Below are 17,283 nucleotides of genomic sequence, written 5' to 3'. Positions count from 1 at the left end.
TCCTCTTGGAATGTTTTCCTTTCTGGGTTTCCAGAATACCATTTCTTTCTGCTCCTTTGTCTTCTCTTTTCAGTTTTCTTTATTAACTTGCCTTTATCTAAATCTTAGATGTTAGTGTACCCCAAGGTTCCATCCTTGACTGTCTTTCTTGTGTCTCAATGTTATATTCCAGTTGCTTCGTTAAACTGCCACACTCATTCTAAATTTATGATACCTTCCCCGACATCTTTAGAAATAATAGATTACTTTTCATTTTCTCTGCTAAATGCACTTTATTTTTCCCTTAGTGAAATGCATACCACCTTGCATATGTCTGCCTCCTAACTAGCCTCTTTTGTCAAGATGTGATAGGCTCTATTGCAGTTAATGCTAGTTATCAGAAAAAAAGTTTACATCTCACTGATGCAAGAATCTGTCGCAGATCTGGGCAACTCTCAAGGACAGCTGTGTGTTCGTCTGTTCAGTGACTCAGGGATCTAGGCAACCTCAAACTTGAGGCTCTACCTTCTCAATACAAGGACTGTTCTTATATTTCCATGGCAGAAGGAGTAGAAAGTGAGTAGGGGCTTCTACTGGCTCAGTGTGGACTACACAGACATATGCTATTCACATTTCATTGAGCAGAACTAATAATAGGGTTTTATCTTTTGACAGTAAGAGTGAAAGTTTAGTTATCCATATGCCCAGGAAAGAAATAACTTTTGTTGAAAAGCTTAACACAGGGATTGTATCATAAATATCTCTATACCCCCAGTACTTGGCACAGGGTTTAACAATAGATGTTCAATAAATGTTTGGTAAATTCAATCTAATCTAGTTTCAACTTGAGTCATTTTACTGATAGAAGAACGGAAGCCCTTCAAAGAAAAGTGACTTTACTCAAATTATTCAGATGTTTACATGGCTAGAGCAAGAATCTAGATCTTTTGCTCTTTTTACTATATCTGATATTCATGGAGGAGTTTGTTCTACAAGAATTGTTATGATTTTGTTGGGTTGTGCATTATTCCCATTAAGGCTACGGGTTTGGTTGTTGGAATGTTTGTTAACTTGCTTTACATTTTTGCTTACAGAGTTAACAGAGATATGGCATGAACATGTATTAGAAAAATGATTCACACACAATAGAAAAAGTAAGTATAGATTATCAACTTGTTGCCAGCAGCATCAATAATTTTTTTTTGGTTACTAAATAGCCCACATAAGTTTGAGCAATATTGTCTCATTTACTACATGTCATTTAGTTGCATAGCAAATGCTTTTACTGACAGAAAATAAAATAAGATTGAAGAAAACCACACAGTATTATCAATTATTACCCATTCTTACTTCTTCTTTCTTTACTGTAGTTTTTGGAAGGGTAATTTAGTGTATTTGCTTAACAATTTTGGGGCCTATTTTCCCATTTTATCCTTACTAAATTTTAAGTAGTAGGTAGGGATTCTCTTAGTGCTGTCTGTGGAAATGTTGCAATTCTATGGCTACTATAATATCTTTTTTGACAACCTTACTTATTTCAGTGCTGGATGGTCTTATTTGCTTTACACCTCAGGGTTCTCCTCAAAACGCCATTGAGGTTCTCTCTTAAGCTGTACCTCTATAGGTAATATTTCACTTGAACATATAAACTTTAATGCAATGTTTCTAAAATAAACTCCTAATCTTCTTCCCTGCTCTCAAGCTTCCTCAAACAAATAAACACACTGGCAGAGACCGTTACCTGTAGCATGTGGCTAATTTCTAGTCAGAGAATATGAACAGAACTTATGGGTATTTCTTCCATGTCTGGCCCATATCATTTTTCTGGCCAATGAACAAACAAATAAGCCAAATACAACAACGAAGATTAAAAAAAAAAAAAAACCCTTCCTAGTTTCCACTTGGCTGGAGAAGACTGTGCCAAGCTTGGAAGCCATATTGTTGAAAGTGGCAGAGCATTTTATCGACTTGAGTTCTTCAGTGACTATGTAGAAAGAGCCCTGTTACTCTCCTAGACTGTTTGGAGAGCAAGAAATAAACTTATTCCATGTTGAGTCATTGTTTGAGTCCATTGTTACCACAGAATACTTTGATACAGAAACCTCAGCTTGTGTACCTGTGAAATGGAAATAATAACTACTTTACTTTGAGAACTAAATGAGATAATATAAACAAAGCACTTATTTTAATGCATGACTCATAAAATATATGATAAATTTTAGTCTATTCCCTTCCTTCCTTCTTCATATAGATATGACAAATACAATCCTTTTAATTCCCTTCAGAAACTTCTGCATCCACTACCCCTCTTTCTTGACACAGAGATAGTGGTTATGAGATTGAAACTCTGTACATCTCCCAATGCTGAATCTATACACAGACATGGATCCAAATTCACATTCTCTTCCCTTACTCCTGTTCCAATACTATTCTTTCTGCTATTTAATATTAGCCAGTATTTATTAAGTGATTAGCATATACCAGGTAATATGCAAAGCCCTGCATGGATTATACAATTAGATCTCATGATGTAGGCATTGTTTTATATCCCCATATTTCAGATTAAAGAATTGGGAGGAGAAAAATTAAGCAGTTTGCTCAAAACGCAAGAATATCTTCAAACTCTCTCATTCTCTTTTCACTTTTTATCTGCATTTAAATGTGCACATATCCCTACAATCTTGAGAAAAACCATTCCATGAAACTTGGCTTCCTTCTTCATTATCTTCATTTTCTGTCTCAACTTCCTCACCTTCACTCTTTAAGCCCTCTGCTCTCACCACTCCAATGAAATGCCTCTATTTTCTAGTAACACATCCAGTGGAGGCTTCCTGGTTTGGATTATCATTCAACCTTTCTGAAATATTTAGTTCTGTACCACTCTCTCTTCCCCAAAACACTAGAGGAGAGTTTGTTACATACCACACTACTTTTCTAGCCACTCTTTCTCCGTCTAACTTTGGGGACTCTTTCTTCTGACAGGTCCTTGAATGCTAGTGTCCTTCAGGGTTCTGTCCCTAAAATTTTCTTTTTTTTTTTACATTAAATATTCTGCTTATAATATCATTTACTCCTACAGTTTCAATTGCTATATATGCTACTAATTCCTAGTTTTTAAAAAAATCTCATCTACACATGTCTTTTGAATTCCATATTCATTTCATCAATTTCAAGTTGAGATCCTAAATTTAGATCCCACATAAGCACCTCAAATGTAACATATCTAAAATTGTACTTATAATCTCTCCCTCTAAAATCTTTCCTTCTAACATTTGTCCCTCTGAGCTCCTCTGTCTCAGGAATTTGTCTATTTGTCCAAATTAGAAATTACACATCATCTTGGGATCTGCTTTTTCATTCATCCCCTAAATGCAATCAAGTTCTAAGTCTTGTTAATTAATGTAAAATTTTATTTCCTAAATATACTTCCTAAATGCATGTGATAGGCTTTTTTTTTCAATCATCATTTACTACCAATTGCCATTATTCATGCCTTCTGTGCATCAGAAGCTGATGCAACATTATTTGCCATTCTCAGAAAATAGCATGCCCTTTCATGCTTTGAGAAATGATGTCTTTTTCTTCCTTTATGGGTTGGAAAACTCTTTCAATAATAACTATATTATCATTACCAGTGTGAATCTTGGGAAGTGTTTCCTGAGGTCAAGCTGGCTGCTCACCTACCCTCCCTCCTATGCTACTATAGAGCTCTGCACTTGGCTCCTTTCTAAATATTTATAAAAAGTTTCTAAGCCTTTGCCTATTCATCTCCCCTTCTAGACTGTGAGAGCCTTGAGAAAGGAAAGCTGGTTTTTATGACAGTGAATTGGATCCTTCCTAATTTAAAAATATATCTGCTAAAGGACCAGTTCACTGAATGGTCATTTGCCAAATGAACAGATTCACCAAATTTACCAGATTTATCAATTCATCCCAAATAGTTGTAATAAAGTGATTAGGATGTTTAAATTTGGTACCCAATGATGAAATATGATTTTCTGGATATTAACTTTTTAAGGTTAAACCCAACCTGAGAACCTGGCCAAAAAAATCTGTAAATGCTAAAGAATCAGTATTTATTTTTAAAATTTCTCAAAGGAAAAGCTGTTTTTCAGTTTTTTTTTTTTTGAGGGGGTTATTTTACATGTAATGAGACTTCTTGTCTACCTCAGATATGGTTTCAGTTATCTCTGAATGTCGTTTCCTATTTTGGTAAACTTTATGCATTTTCCTTATTCTTCTGCAACTTCCTCAAATGGCATACCAGCTTTCCTTTTATATCTCTAGCATTTATAGTTTAAGATGAAATTAAACTTTAATTAGGAGATTGAACTTTAAATTTAAATTCACAGGCACTAAAATAAATCAGAATTTTAAATTGAAGTTTAATGAAAGAAAAATTTTAATTAAATAAAATTTAGAATTAAAATTTAAATTCATTCAAAAGAATCAGAATTAGTTTAAACCATCACATCTCACATGAAACTAAAAATGTGATTTTTATCAAGGAACAATTAAGGTCTCTTGACTTGGTTGGCAGTAATTTGCAAATGATTCTCTATGAAAGCACATAAAAAAAGAAAAAAAAGACCACAATGGACCAAATGAAAAAGATACAAAAAAAATGGATAAAACATAAATAGATTAAAAATACTGTAAATGAAAACAGATGAATGCTAAAAGGTTGGCTCAATAAAAAATGAAATTTTAAAAGGAATAAAAATCAGTATAAATGAGTAATTTCTACATGAAACTTAAAATTTTACTTATGACATATGTACTGTTTTATATTCAGTCATCAAATCAAAATATTTCTCTTAAAATTTATAAGATTATTTTTATTAAGTCACTATGTTTGATGGGTTGGTTTTCAGGAAATAAGCCATGTGGTGAACTGATTTTTAGTGATTTTTCGCTGCTTATTTGCCACCAGCAAATTTCCCAAACTTCCAACTTCTCCAGTTTCCATAATTTCTTCTGTGAAATTGAAGTTTCTCTTCCCCCTGAGATGATCAGCTGTCTTCTTAAGTGATAGCCATTTATTCTTTTTTAACCAAGGTTTCTTAAGCTGCTCTGACTTGACGTTTTCTTCTTTCCTCGACCTGGCCCATACCTGCTTTTAGGTGTCTCAGAAATTCTTCAAATTCAGTGTTTCCAAGACTGAATGTAGGTATATTCTTCTCTTCTGGTCCCTGCTATCTGAACTCTCCAAACTTTAGTTCCTTTTAGCATTCTTTTTTTTTTTTTTTTTTTTTTTTTTTTTTTTTGAGACAGAGTCACGCTCTATTGCCCAGGCTGGAGTGCATTGGTATGATCTCAGTTCATTGCAACCTCTACCTCTGGGTTCAAGAGATTCTCCTGCCTCAGCCTCCAAGTAGCTGGGAGTACAGGCACCTGCCACCACGCCCAGCTAATTTTTCTATTTTTAGTAGATATGGGGTTTCACCATATTGGCCAGGCTGGTCTCAAACTCCTGACCTCAAATGATCCACCCATCTTGGCATCCCAAAGTTCTGGGATTACAGGCGTGAGCCATAGAATTCTCTATTTAGGATATGGCCACCATCCATCCAGTAGCATAAGCCAGAAACAAGGAATCAACCCGTCACTGGTTATTCTAGACGTTTTTCAAATGTCCATTCATTTCCATTACCCTGGTTCTAGTCCAAGTTTTGTTGAAACTCCTATAATAGTCTATTGTCTACATTATGGAATTGGGAACATTACATTTTTAAACTGCAAAGCTTAGAACAAAGGTTGTCACCTAGTAAGCATTCACTACATGTATGAACCAACATTGTATTAGTCTGTTTTCATGCTGCTGATAAAGACATACTGAAGACTGGGCAATTTACAAAGGAAAGAGGTTTAATAGAGAACTCACAGTTCCACGTGTTGGGGAAGCCTCACAATCATGGCAGAAGGGAATGAGGAGCAAGTCACATCTTACATGGATGGCAACAGGCAAAGAGAGAGAGCTTGTGTGGAAAGACTCCCATTTTTAAAACCATCAGATCTCGTGAGACCTAGTCACTATCACGAGAACAGCACAGGAAACACACACTCCTGTGATTCAATTATCTCCCACTGGGTACCTCCCACAACACGTGGGAATCATGGGAACTACAAGATGAAATTTGAGTGGGGACACAGAGCCAAACCATATCAGACATTTAATTAAAGTCGTATATTATTTGGTGTTCTCTTATCCTCATTTAAGATTTTATTTAAAAATATTTAAAATATATTTCTAAAATACAGACTATATTGCCCGACTCTTTGAAAGCTTTCAGTAGTTCCCTATTACTCCTAAAGACCTAAATTCATTATATGACCTAGATGGTTGTGCAAGCTTTGGCTTCTGAACACCTTTCCATGCTCCTGGGACACCTTTCTCCCTCTCTGGGCTCCAGGCACTGACTGTAAGGCCCTGGAATGTGCTCTGCCACTGTTTTGCCCAGAGCTTTGTTTGTATACCTTCTAGTGCACCCCTCCTCCTGCCTATCCCAGCACGCTGTGCCTCTTTTTCCCTCTTGCTTTTCTTCCTTGATTAAAAATAGACTTTATTTTTTAGAGCAGCTTTAGGTTCACAGCATAATTGAGCAGAAACTACAGACAATTCCCATATATTCACAGCCTCTCTCACTCTTTCCTTCATTTTAGCCTCCCACACTAGATCTATTTCTTTTATTAGCTCTAATAAATAAATATATTAATATTTAATATTATTAATAGAATAATAAATATATATAAGAGAACCATATTCTCTTCCTTCACACATTACCTTGAGATTGTAATTTTTTATTGTGATTATCTGTAGCTTGTCTTCTTTTCCTCATAAAGCATAGAATCCATGAGGTCAAGGACTGTACTGACTTTTTTTTCCCTGAGATCTAATCAAGTGCCCATCATATAGAAGGTCTTCAATACACATTCATCATTGTGGTTGAATAACATATGTCATATAATCCTACACAGTTTCTGGGTAAAACATATCTCTATATAATTACCACTACAACACTTTGAAGATCTAAAATAAAAATTAACCATAATTTTGCTGTTTGTTTCTGTCTCAGGCTAATTTAGCATTTCACATTTATAACTATTCTGGTCCAGTAGCTCCTAAAATTTAACCACAGATATTTTATTAAGTATACACATACTGATGGAAGTAAAATTATTCTGTTCTGTGTTAAATGTAATAATTTACTTCTATTTTTACTCTTTCTTATGTCTGTTTTCAAACCTGAAGTGTTTGATTTCCTTCTGCAAAAATTTGCTTATCTTACCTGAGAGGCACATACCACCACAAGGGGGCAGAGATAGACAAATATTCAGTTCTTTGGACTGCATTCTCTATCCTGAGACTATTCTTTGACAGAATACATTTGAGCCATTATTTTTTCCATGAGTCTCTTTTTTCATTTGCCTTTCAATTTGAAATCTATAAGTACTATTATCCTCTTCATACAGTGTATACCTTTTAAAAGATGAAGAGACCTCCACTATATAAATTGTAGGCATTATATAACTTAACTCTTTAGTACATTAAGTAATTTTAGTTATAAGAATGCTATGTTAGATGTTGCAGTAAATTGTTCACTGGTAATTTCATAGCTAGTTTCTACTGTCTTATCTTTAGCCTACACACACATACACACATGTACACACACATATACATAGATACGTTGGTGGGGGAAAAAAGAGATTTTATTTTATTTTTGCATAATCATTCAGGGAATATTTAGGCATTTATGTCATAGAAACTAGAAATTAAACATTTGGAAAGAACAGGATTTTTTAGTATAGTTTTATTATTCTATCCTTTGTGCACTAAATATATATTCATCTTTACTTTGAGTAAGAAAAACACATGCTGAGCTATATGTATCTATCTTAACATAGTTCTCATAAACAGCTTGGGTAGGACTTTATGTCAGCAATCTAATTACATAACTCACCTTGTTTTATTGGTTATTCTGAAATTTAGTTCTCTGTAAATATAGAGCCCATCCAATTTAGAGTTGAATTTTAAGAATGTTAACTTTAACGATAATGAGATAATTTATGTGTGAACAGATGCCTTGGTTAGAAGGAAGTTTAGAGGAGAAAGAGAGCTTTTTATTATAGAAAAACCAATAGCAGAAAGAATGTGACTTTGATTCAGATTGGGAATCACCAAAGATTGGTAACCACATGAGAATTTCACAGACAAATCATCTAAACTTGATGCCGGGCATTCAAGGTCATCCATAGTCTGGGCCCACACATCCTCGCTGGCCCTTTTCTCATATCTCTACCCATCCTGCATTCCATTCACCTGGACCACTTGCCTTTTGGGGAACAAGTCATACTTTTCCATGTTTCTATGTCTTGGCCCTTGCCTGCTTTCCTAATCTGGAATTACACCTCTCCACGTCACCTCCGAGTTTTCCCCCAGGTAATGCAAATAACTGAGCATATTTGTCATACTCTAATTTATTGAGCTCATGGAAAGATATTGCTAATAGACCACAATATTTTCTCCAGTCTCACTAAATGTAGCCTCAGTGTCCTTCTCAGTACAGCTTCTCAGAATAATTCAGATACCTATACCAATTAATTACTGATAGTTTATGAGATATTTGCCATCTTGCTGACTTAGCCCAAATTTGTGTCTAGATAAGTAAGACCAGGATTGGGTGGCTTTGGAGAATGTAATTTCAGCTTGAATATGAAGATGCTTGTAGAACAGTGTTCCTTCCTCTGAACATGGCTACAGAAGAACAAATCAGTTAGTCTGAAGGTAAGAAAATAAAACAACTTAAAATGTCATATAATTTTATTCATCTAAGTCCAACTGAGCTATTATATTAATCCCTAAGCACCATAGAAGAAGGGTCATGTTTATTTTGTTTATCGCCATATCCCCAGTATTTAGCCAAGGGTCTGGTATATATCAGGTACTCAATAATATTTGCTGATTGAATGAACTAATAGTGAATAATGGCAAATATTATATTTCATGCCACACCATCTTCTCCATTAAATGGGGTAGATTTGCACTCTAAGCTGGCGACTGCTCTGGAGAAAGGGTTCCCAGATAAGTAAAAGGGAAAGATTTTTTGAAGGTCAGTACATGACCTTTTGGAGGTACAACAGAAAGATACCAGCAGTAAAAGTTGGGAAACCTGTGAGTGCTTTGTCTACTCTGCTGCACTTCAAAGTATCAAAGAATCATATAATTTAAATAGTTTGGAACAAAGAGAGATTTATTCTGAGTCAATATGGATTCTATTAAATTGGACCTAAAGTATCAGACATTGGCACTATTCTGAGACCCAATCTTTGGGAAGATTTAGTTCACTCTTAAATTTTTGACGGGAAATATTTGAAAATCTTCCAAGGATATTGAATGTGATTTACATTTCTAAAGGTCGGTTAAGTCCCAGGTTAATTCCTCTTATACACTGGTTTCCTAAACTGAGAATAGAAGACTGAAAACTGAAAATTTTATTATTCATATGACCACAGGAAGTATGAACAATTTTTAGTTTAAAAACGTGAGTTGTAGAAGCAGATGGCCTCTGGACCATCTGTCTCATTTTAAAAAATTCAACTTTTATTTTAGATACAGGGGGTACATGTGCAGGTTTGTTATGTTGGTTTATTGCACTCAAGTAGTGAGCATAGTACCCAATAGGTAGTTTTTCAACCCATGCCTCCCTCTGTCTCTCCCCTCTTTAGTAGTCTATAGTGTTTGTTATTCCCATGTTTATGTTCATGTGTGCTCAATGTTTAGCTCCCACTTGTACGTGAGAACATGTAGTATTTGGTTTTCCGTTCCTGCATTAGTTCGCTTAGGATTATGGCCTTTAGCTCCATCCATGGTGCTGCAGAGGAAATGATTTCATTCCTTTTTATGGCTGCATAATATTCCATGGTGTACATGTACCACATTTTCTTTATCCAATCCACCATTGTTGGACACCTAGGTTGATTCTATGTCTTTGCTATTATAAATAGTGCATTGATGAACATAAGAGTGCATGTGTCTTTTTGGCATAATGATCTATTTTCCTTTGGGTATATCTCAGTAATGAGATTGCTGGGTCGAATGGTAGCTCTGTTTTAAGTTCTTTGAGAAATCTCTAAACTGCTTTCCACAATGGCTGAACTAATTTACAATCCCACCAATGGTATAAACATTCCCTTTTCTCTACAAGCTCACTAGCATCTGTTGTTTTTTGACTTCTTGATAATAGACATTTCGACTGGTATGAGATGGTAGCTCATTGTGGTTTTGATTTACACTTCTCTGGCGATTAGTGAGAATGAGCATTTTTTCATACGTTTGTTGGCCACTTGTATATCTTCTTTTGAGTAGTGTCTGTTCATGTCCTTCACTCATTTTTGAAAAATGGGGTTATTTGTTTTTTGTTTAAGTTCCTATAGATTCTGGATCTTAGACTGTTGTTAGATGCATAGTTTGCAAATATTTTCTCCCATTCTGTAGGTTGTCTGTTTACTCTATTGATAGTTTATTTTGCTGTTCAGAATCTCTTAAGTTTAATTGGATTCCACTTGTCAATTTTTGTTTTTATTGCTATTGCTTTTGGTAACTTAGCCAAAAATTATTTGCCAAGACTGATGTTCAGAAGGGTATTTCCTAGGTTTTCTTCTAGGATTTTTATAGTTTGGTGTCTTACACTTAAAACTTTAACCATCTGTAGTTAATTTTTGTATATAGTAAAAGTTAAATGTCCAGTTTCATTCTTCTACATATGACTAGCCAGTTATTTCATCACTATTGAATAATGAGGACTTTTCCCATTGCTTGTTTTTGTTTGCCTTATTAAAGATCAGATGGTTGTAAGTGTATGGCTTTATTTCTAAGTTTTCTATTGTGTTCCACTGGTTTATGTGTCTGTTTTTGTACCAATACCATGCTATTCTGGTTATTATATCATTATAGTGTAGTTTGAAGTCAAGTAGTGTGATGTCTCTGGCTTTGTACATTTTGCTTAGGATTGCTTTGGCTATTGGGGCTTTTTTTTTTGGTTCCATATAGATTTTAGAATAGTTTTTTCTAATTCTATCAGGAATGACATTGGTAATTTGATAAGAATAGTGTTAAATCACTAAATCTCTCTCCAGTGTTGTTTTGTGCAGTATTACCATTTTAATGACATTGATGAGCATGGAATGCTTTTCCATTTATTTGTATCATCTCTGATTTCTTTCAGCAGTGTTTTGTAGTTCTCCTTATAGAGATCTTTCACTTCCTTGGTTAGCTGTATTCCTAGGTATTTCATTTTCTTTGTGGTTATTGTAAATGTGATCATGTTTTTGATTTGACTTTGAACCTGGACATTATTGGTGTATAGATATGTTACATAGATTTTGTACTCTGAAATTGTACTAAAATAATTTACCAGTTCATGTAGCCTTTTGGCAGAATCTTTGGGGTTTTCTAGATATAGAATAATACCATCAATGAAGAGAGATAGTTGACTTTTTCTTTTCCTATTGAATGCCTTTTATTTCTTTCTCTTGCCGATTGCTCTGGCTAGAACTTCCTGTCTCATTTGTTGATACATTAAGGAAAATGTAACTAAATGTTCAGAGAAAAGTAATAGCGTATATTAGCAAATTCCTTAGATTTTGTCTCTTCCAGAGCTGTCAAACAGAACTTTTGCCATGATGACAATATTCTGTATTTGTTTTATCCAATATAATAGCCACTGGCCACACATGGCCACAGGGCACTTGAAATGTGGCTAGTACAATGGAGGAACTGAATTTTTAAATATTACTTAAAATAAATAATTAAAATTTATATTTAAATAGCCACATGTGTCTAGTGGCTACTGTATTAGAGTGCACATCTAGAAGAATATATACTTAATTAAAACTAAAATAATTTTAGAAGTAAAATTAAAAAAAATTAGAATTATAATTTTTGAGATGAGCCATTGATAATGTCAACAAGTAAGACATCAGACTGAAAACAGAAAAAGAAACTGAAGAATTGTAGTATGGGAATTTTAAAAAGCAGCAAGCTTAGCACTTACCATGTGTTAGACCCTATGCTAGACCCATTCACATTTATCATCTCAGTGAATGCTCATAACAACTCTGCAAGTAAATATTTTATCTCCACTTTATAGGCAAGAAGTCAGATATTACAATTTCCTCAGTGAAAAAACTTAAACCCATCTGGTTTCAAAATCCAGACTGTAAAATTTGAGTGAGCAGAAGAAAAATATCCAGATACAATTATGAATGTGCATCTTATGAAGTGAGGTCAGGCCTGGAATGAGTGTCACATCCAAATATTGCTCACGAATTTCTTAAAGTCCTCATTGCTGAGTCTAGGCTTGGTTTCTGATGATGTAACAGTCCTGAAGCTAAAGGTGGGGTCAGGTGGTCCAAATTGGGTAGAAGAAGGTGAGGCTGGGGACCAGCCAACTGAAAGAGAGCACTGATGTTCTGGGTGACCATCGCTCTTGTAGAACATTGCCTCTCAGGTACCTGAGCAACAATTGCTAGCCTTGCTGTTTCCATTAGAGGTGCTGACTTATGACAGCATTCTCAGCTATAATTTTATGGTTGAGTACTTTGACGTTATTTTTCTCTCCAATAATGCTCTGTGACCTGATTTTCTCCTCATTTGTCAGATAGCTTATGTGATGTGGCTTTCACTTGGTAACTGCAATTCAGGGGCATTTCCCTGCAATAATGTGTCAAGAAACAGCTTCTATAACACCAGAAATCATGCTTCCTTATGTTGAGGAGAGTGGAGATGTGCCTCCGTGTGTTGACTGTGTCATTCAATCTAATGCTTCTGGATGCATATGTCTCGCTGAGCACCTAAATAACTTGTATTCTATATCCTTAGAATAAAAGGATATCAGCATTTTTTCCTGCTGGTCTTTGGAGTTTGTGCCGCAAAAGAATGATACTTCGCTACCTCAACTATTAAATGAAGGAGTCTGCTTAAAGAAGGCTGAATATCTTGGTTTAAGAACTTAGCTTTCCCAATGATTGAAATGAATTAGATAGGAATGATGGCCTGGGTATCTATCTTGGGCAAGTCTTGTGTCTTGCTATCCTGGGATTCTTTTACAACTAGAAATACAACACCAGAATTCTTTGATAAAGATTCAAATTCTGAGATGAAGCAACCTGATCCAGGCAGTTTAGGAATGGGGCTAAGGCTCATTTAAAATGGGGCCATGAGCGGTCAGAAGTATCTGTGAAAGCCAAATATGAGTCTGTTGCAAGATGGAGAATACTTTAACAGATTAACGGTCCATGGAATTAGTGGTCTAGGAGGCAGCATCCTAGCCAGGAATAGGATATGAAAAGGATTTCTGAAGTGCAGATAAAATGGTCCCTCAATCTTCAGGGCCAAAGCAGGAGGGGAGCTGGAGAAGGAACACAGAATCAGAAACAAGATTGTTACAAGGTGGTTAGGGAGCAAATTGCTTCAATTGCAGCCCGCTTACATTTGAGCAAATGTGCTTCCTGGAGCCAGGGGCTTGTTCTTAAAAGAGCCAGTTCCATAGGACAGGTAACTTGCTGAAGTCCAGATCGACTTCAGCGCCGGGAGGTATAAATACATTTTGCAAAATCCAAATATTCAAGTTGAAAGAGAGCCCAGTTCCTAGGAAGCGGTGTTTTTTATTTGATATTCTTAAGTATCAACCATATATTAGACAATATGTAGCCTTAGAGAGTCGCATGAAATTTCTGTAAGCACAGCACAATTGCTGGATGTCTCCTGCAAAAATAAGAAGAAATCCAGCCGAAAACCTTTTTCTCTTCCTCTTTCCCCTTTATAAAGAAGGCTAATAGATCTCTCATTTTTCAAAATGTACCTCAGCTTTGGAATGGAGAAGTGGAAATGTTTTTTCTATTCGAAAGGAAGGTTATCTAAACACTGTAGTGTGTGATTCTATTAGAGCTTGCTTGATTTAAACTCTGAGTGTACCTAAAACTCTCAATTCTACTTCACATGTGGTAAAAGGTCAAATACAGTCTTGTTCTACCTTGCAATCAATCATTTACACTCCCTGTCCACCTTATAGGGGAAGACAGACTATTATTAGCCTGTGGAAAAGGCATACTGGGATTCATGTCATATGGAGAGAATATTTATTTTTCTCTTATTTTGCCAAGCCGATGGTGGTGGTGTCTGCAGTACACAGCTGACATGGAGCTAAAGCTAGATGTGGTCATATGATAGGCAGGACAAAAAGCAGAAAGGCTGCTCTTCTGCTGGCCATAAATATCAGGTCAGATTTCTCTTTCTCCTTCTCTATAAAATTCTCTATTCATTTATGCAGGCCTGTCAACACATGCAAAGACATGTAAAACACATTAATAGGATTGTGAGTTAATTCAAATCCAGTCATTCTTTCAATATACATATATGTTGGGCACATTATATGAGCTAGTTCTGCCCACATGAATTGTCTCTAGACATTCATTTGTTTTTTTTTTCCTGCTGTATTTTTCTGTTCCTTCTTAGTTTAAGCAGATAACTTTTGTTTTTTGCTTCAAAGACGTTTGCAGAATGGAAAGTAGAAACTTTTTGAAAGCAACCTTTCTGCTTTTCCAAAAGACTGTACTCACTGCAAATGGAGAAGCAAGAATAGGAGTGTCATCTTCAGGGTCACCAAGGAAGGTTGGAGAGGCTTCAGACTGGGGTGGGGGCAGAGGCTGCTGGGCCCACAAGTAGAATAGCCCTGCCCTGTTTCCTTGGCAGCATCTTTGGGCAATGGCAAACTAGAAGTACATCCAGAGAGGCTGCTCTCAAGCCATGGAATTCCCACTCCCAGTGAACATTCCCAGACCCCAAGCATAGTACAGAGCTGATAGGTGCTAGAAAAGACCATATGAGAATGGAAAATGGGCTTCTCTGAAGTAACCAGTGAGAACCACGAACAGGATGGACCTCTGTAGTGCAGTGCTTTAGGACAGAATAAGACATACCACTCAGATTTTTCATGGCACTAAGCAAATGGGAGAGGTAGAGCCCAGTAATCACTGGGATTAAAACTCTCTCCAGATTGGTGGGATTTAGATTTAAACTGATTAAGCAGGGATTAGATTTAAGTTAATTTAGAAAAAAACCCAACAACATGACAGTGCCTTATTTCTTACACATCTGGATTGGTGGATTAAGTTTACCTGCTGTCATTATAGCAAGGAACACAAATATTAAACAAGTTATTACCATTGTGAATTGACCTATGAAGGAATAATTGTGGATACTTTGGAAGCAGAGCTGTGGGGCCTAATTAAAAGTATATTTATGGTTAGGATGGATGGGGAGGAAATTATTCCCTGAATGAATAACATTTTAGCTGTTATCTATAGGATAAATTAAAGTTAGTTAGCTTAGTTAAAATTAAAGGGTGATCCAGGCAATGAACAATGTGTGGAAATGTCCTGAGGTGGATAAGAGCTTAGGCCAATCAGTGTGGCCAAAGACATGAAAGTGAGGGGATAAATGGCTGGTGCAGAGGCAAAGAGGAGACAGGGTTCAGGTCACGCCGGGCCTACCAGCTCACATTAAACAATGATCATAAGTGATGGAGAAAACCATAAAAGAATTTTAAGTAGGGAGTGAAATAAAAGATTTGAGATTTCCTAAGATTAACTTTGCTTGCAGGTTAGAGAATAAATTAGACAAGTGACAAAGAGGATTGGGAGGACCAGCTAGTAGGTCTTATGATTTTAACTGAACAAGCTTGTGGCAGGAAGGATGGTGAGAAGTTTATAATGAAGAGATTTTGGACAATTGCATCAGTGGACCCTGATGACTAATGTTGTGGTGAGGAATGTGAGATAGAGAGGGAAAAGTGAGGACGATTTATAAACCTCTAGCGTAAGAAATAAGATAGACGAAACGAAATTATGGATCAAGAAAAACTAGTTGAAAAACATATTTTGGGTTTGGTTTGGACCACAATGAGCTTGATCTGCTTGGGAGATATTTAAGCTTTTACATGCATGTTGTAAGATCTATACTATTGGACATAATAATAATTCATTTTTATACTAAAGGTACTTGTAATGAATACTGTGATACTAATAATTTAAAGGTGGATGATTTTATTTCATTAGATATATTAAAAAGACATTTTAAAAAGGAATTAAAATGGACATGAACTGGTATTTTTGACAAAGTTAACAACTTTGACCTAGAAACTGGCCAAAGGTAAATGTTGACATAAATAAAATTTCTTCTGATTTCCAGATGAAAACAAGAAGCTGATGGTAGACACATTCTGAACTGGCTAACACAACACTCTGAAACTGGAGGATATCAACTGATAAGATATGAAGTTCTCCCTTAGTTTCAAATACACTGGGTTCATAAATTATTGACATAAACAATAGATGTCCCATCAAGCTACCATGAAGATAGCTAGGTCTGCACAACTCCTCAAGTGTCGACCCCTCCAAGCACATCCTCCACCTGGAACTGTGAACTGAATGGATAAATGTGTTGGTCAGAAAGGTCTTTACATCTTTGAATTGTAACGATCATGACTAGTTGCTGAGTTTGCCACCTCCCTGCCTCCCTGCCCTCTACCTTCCAAGAATTATCATTACAAAAATAGCCATTTGGCTTATGGCATAAGCTTTATCACAAAGCTTGACCCAGATTGAAGAATCCAGGCAATTTCTAGCCAGCCTTTTATTTCCTTCATGCACAGGATCATGGTAGAGGCTTAGCATTTATCAAACTACAGCTTTTCCCCAAAGGAAAGGGAAATGGGAATAGACTAGCTGCTTCAGTGAGCAAAACAGGTGGATAACAAATAAGAGATTATTGGCAGTTTATCAGGGTCTCTTTGCTAAAACTCCTTGTCAAATGGCTAAGGAAAGACATTGAGAGAAGGCATGTGTGGGTGCCTTGAGAGCCTGTGAGATCTGTGCTCTTGAAGCATTTTGTACTTTTCTTAATGATGCTTATCTTACTCTACCTTATAGTATAATTAAAAGGCAAGTTTTCTTCTTCTGAGGTGGTAAGTATAAACTTCAAATAGCAGACAGAAAGGAGTTAAGGGGTTCTATGTGCCTATCCCAGCCAGCCGCATTTTGTCATGGTCTGATTGCAAGGCTGGTTGCAACAGTTGGGAAGCATTTGGCCAGTGGGACAGTTTGAAATGGAAACAAGAAAAGAGTGTAGAGAAGGAAGTGTATTGTTCCCAGCAGTATGGTCTTCTTTGTGGCCTTGTGCCTGGCAACTCTTCTTTCCAATATAACACCAATGGAGCAAAAGGCCTTAAGTTGGGGGTAATGGGT

At 36.0% G+C, this 17,283-nt stretch overlaps 1 long non-coding RNA gene across 1 annotated transcript, besides 1 other annotated feature; it reads left to right on the top strand.

Annotated features, from left to right (window-relative positions):
- Window positions 358-558: a silencer, noted in NCBI's record as "peak335 fragment used in MPRA reporter construct". NCBI's record gives its function as "represses an SCP1 promoter by STARR-seq MPRAs in K562 erythroleukemia cells {active_cell/tissue: K562}" and the evidence as "EXISTENCE:reporter gene assay evidence [ECO:0000049][PMID:32103011]".
- LINC01708 (long intergenic non-protein coding RNA 1708) lies at window positions 1,074-16,458 on the top strand. The gene is made up of 3 exons (NR_125951.2): window positions 1,074-1,133; window positions 8,641-8,764; window positions 16,229-16,458. It is a non-coding gene; the product is annotated as a long intergenic non-protein coding RNA 1708 (long non-coding RNA).
- Window positions 16,459-17,283: the final 825 nt, after the last annotated feature.

The sequence above is a fragment of the Homo sapiens genome, chromosome 1, assembly GCF_000001405.40.
Source record: "Homo sapiens chromosome 1, GRCh38.p14 Primary Assembly".
NCBI classification, from domain to species: Eukaryota; Metazoa; Chordata; class Mammalia; order Primates; family Hominidae; genus Homo; species Homo sapiens.
This window is presented reverse-complemented; position numbering and strand designations above follow the sequence as displayed.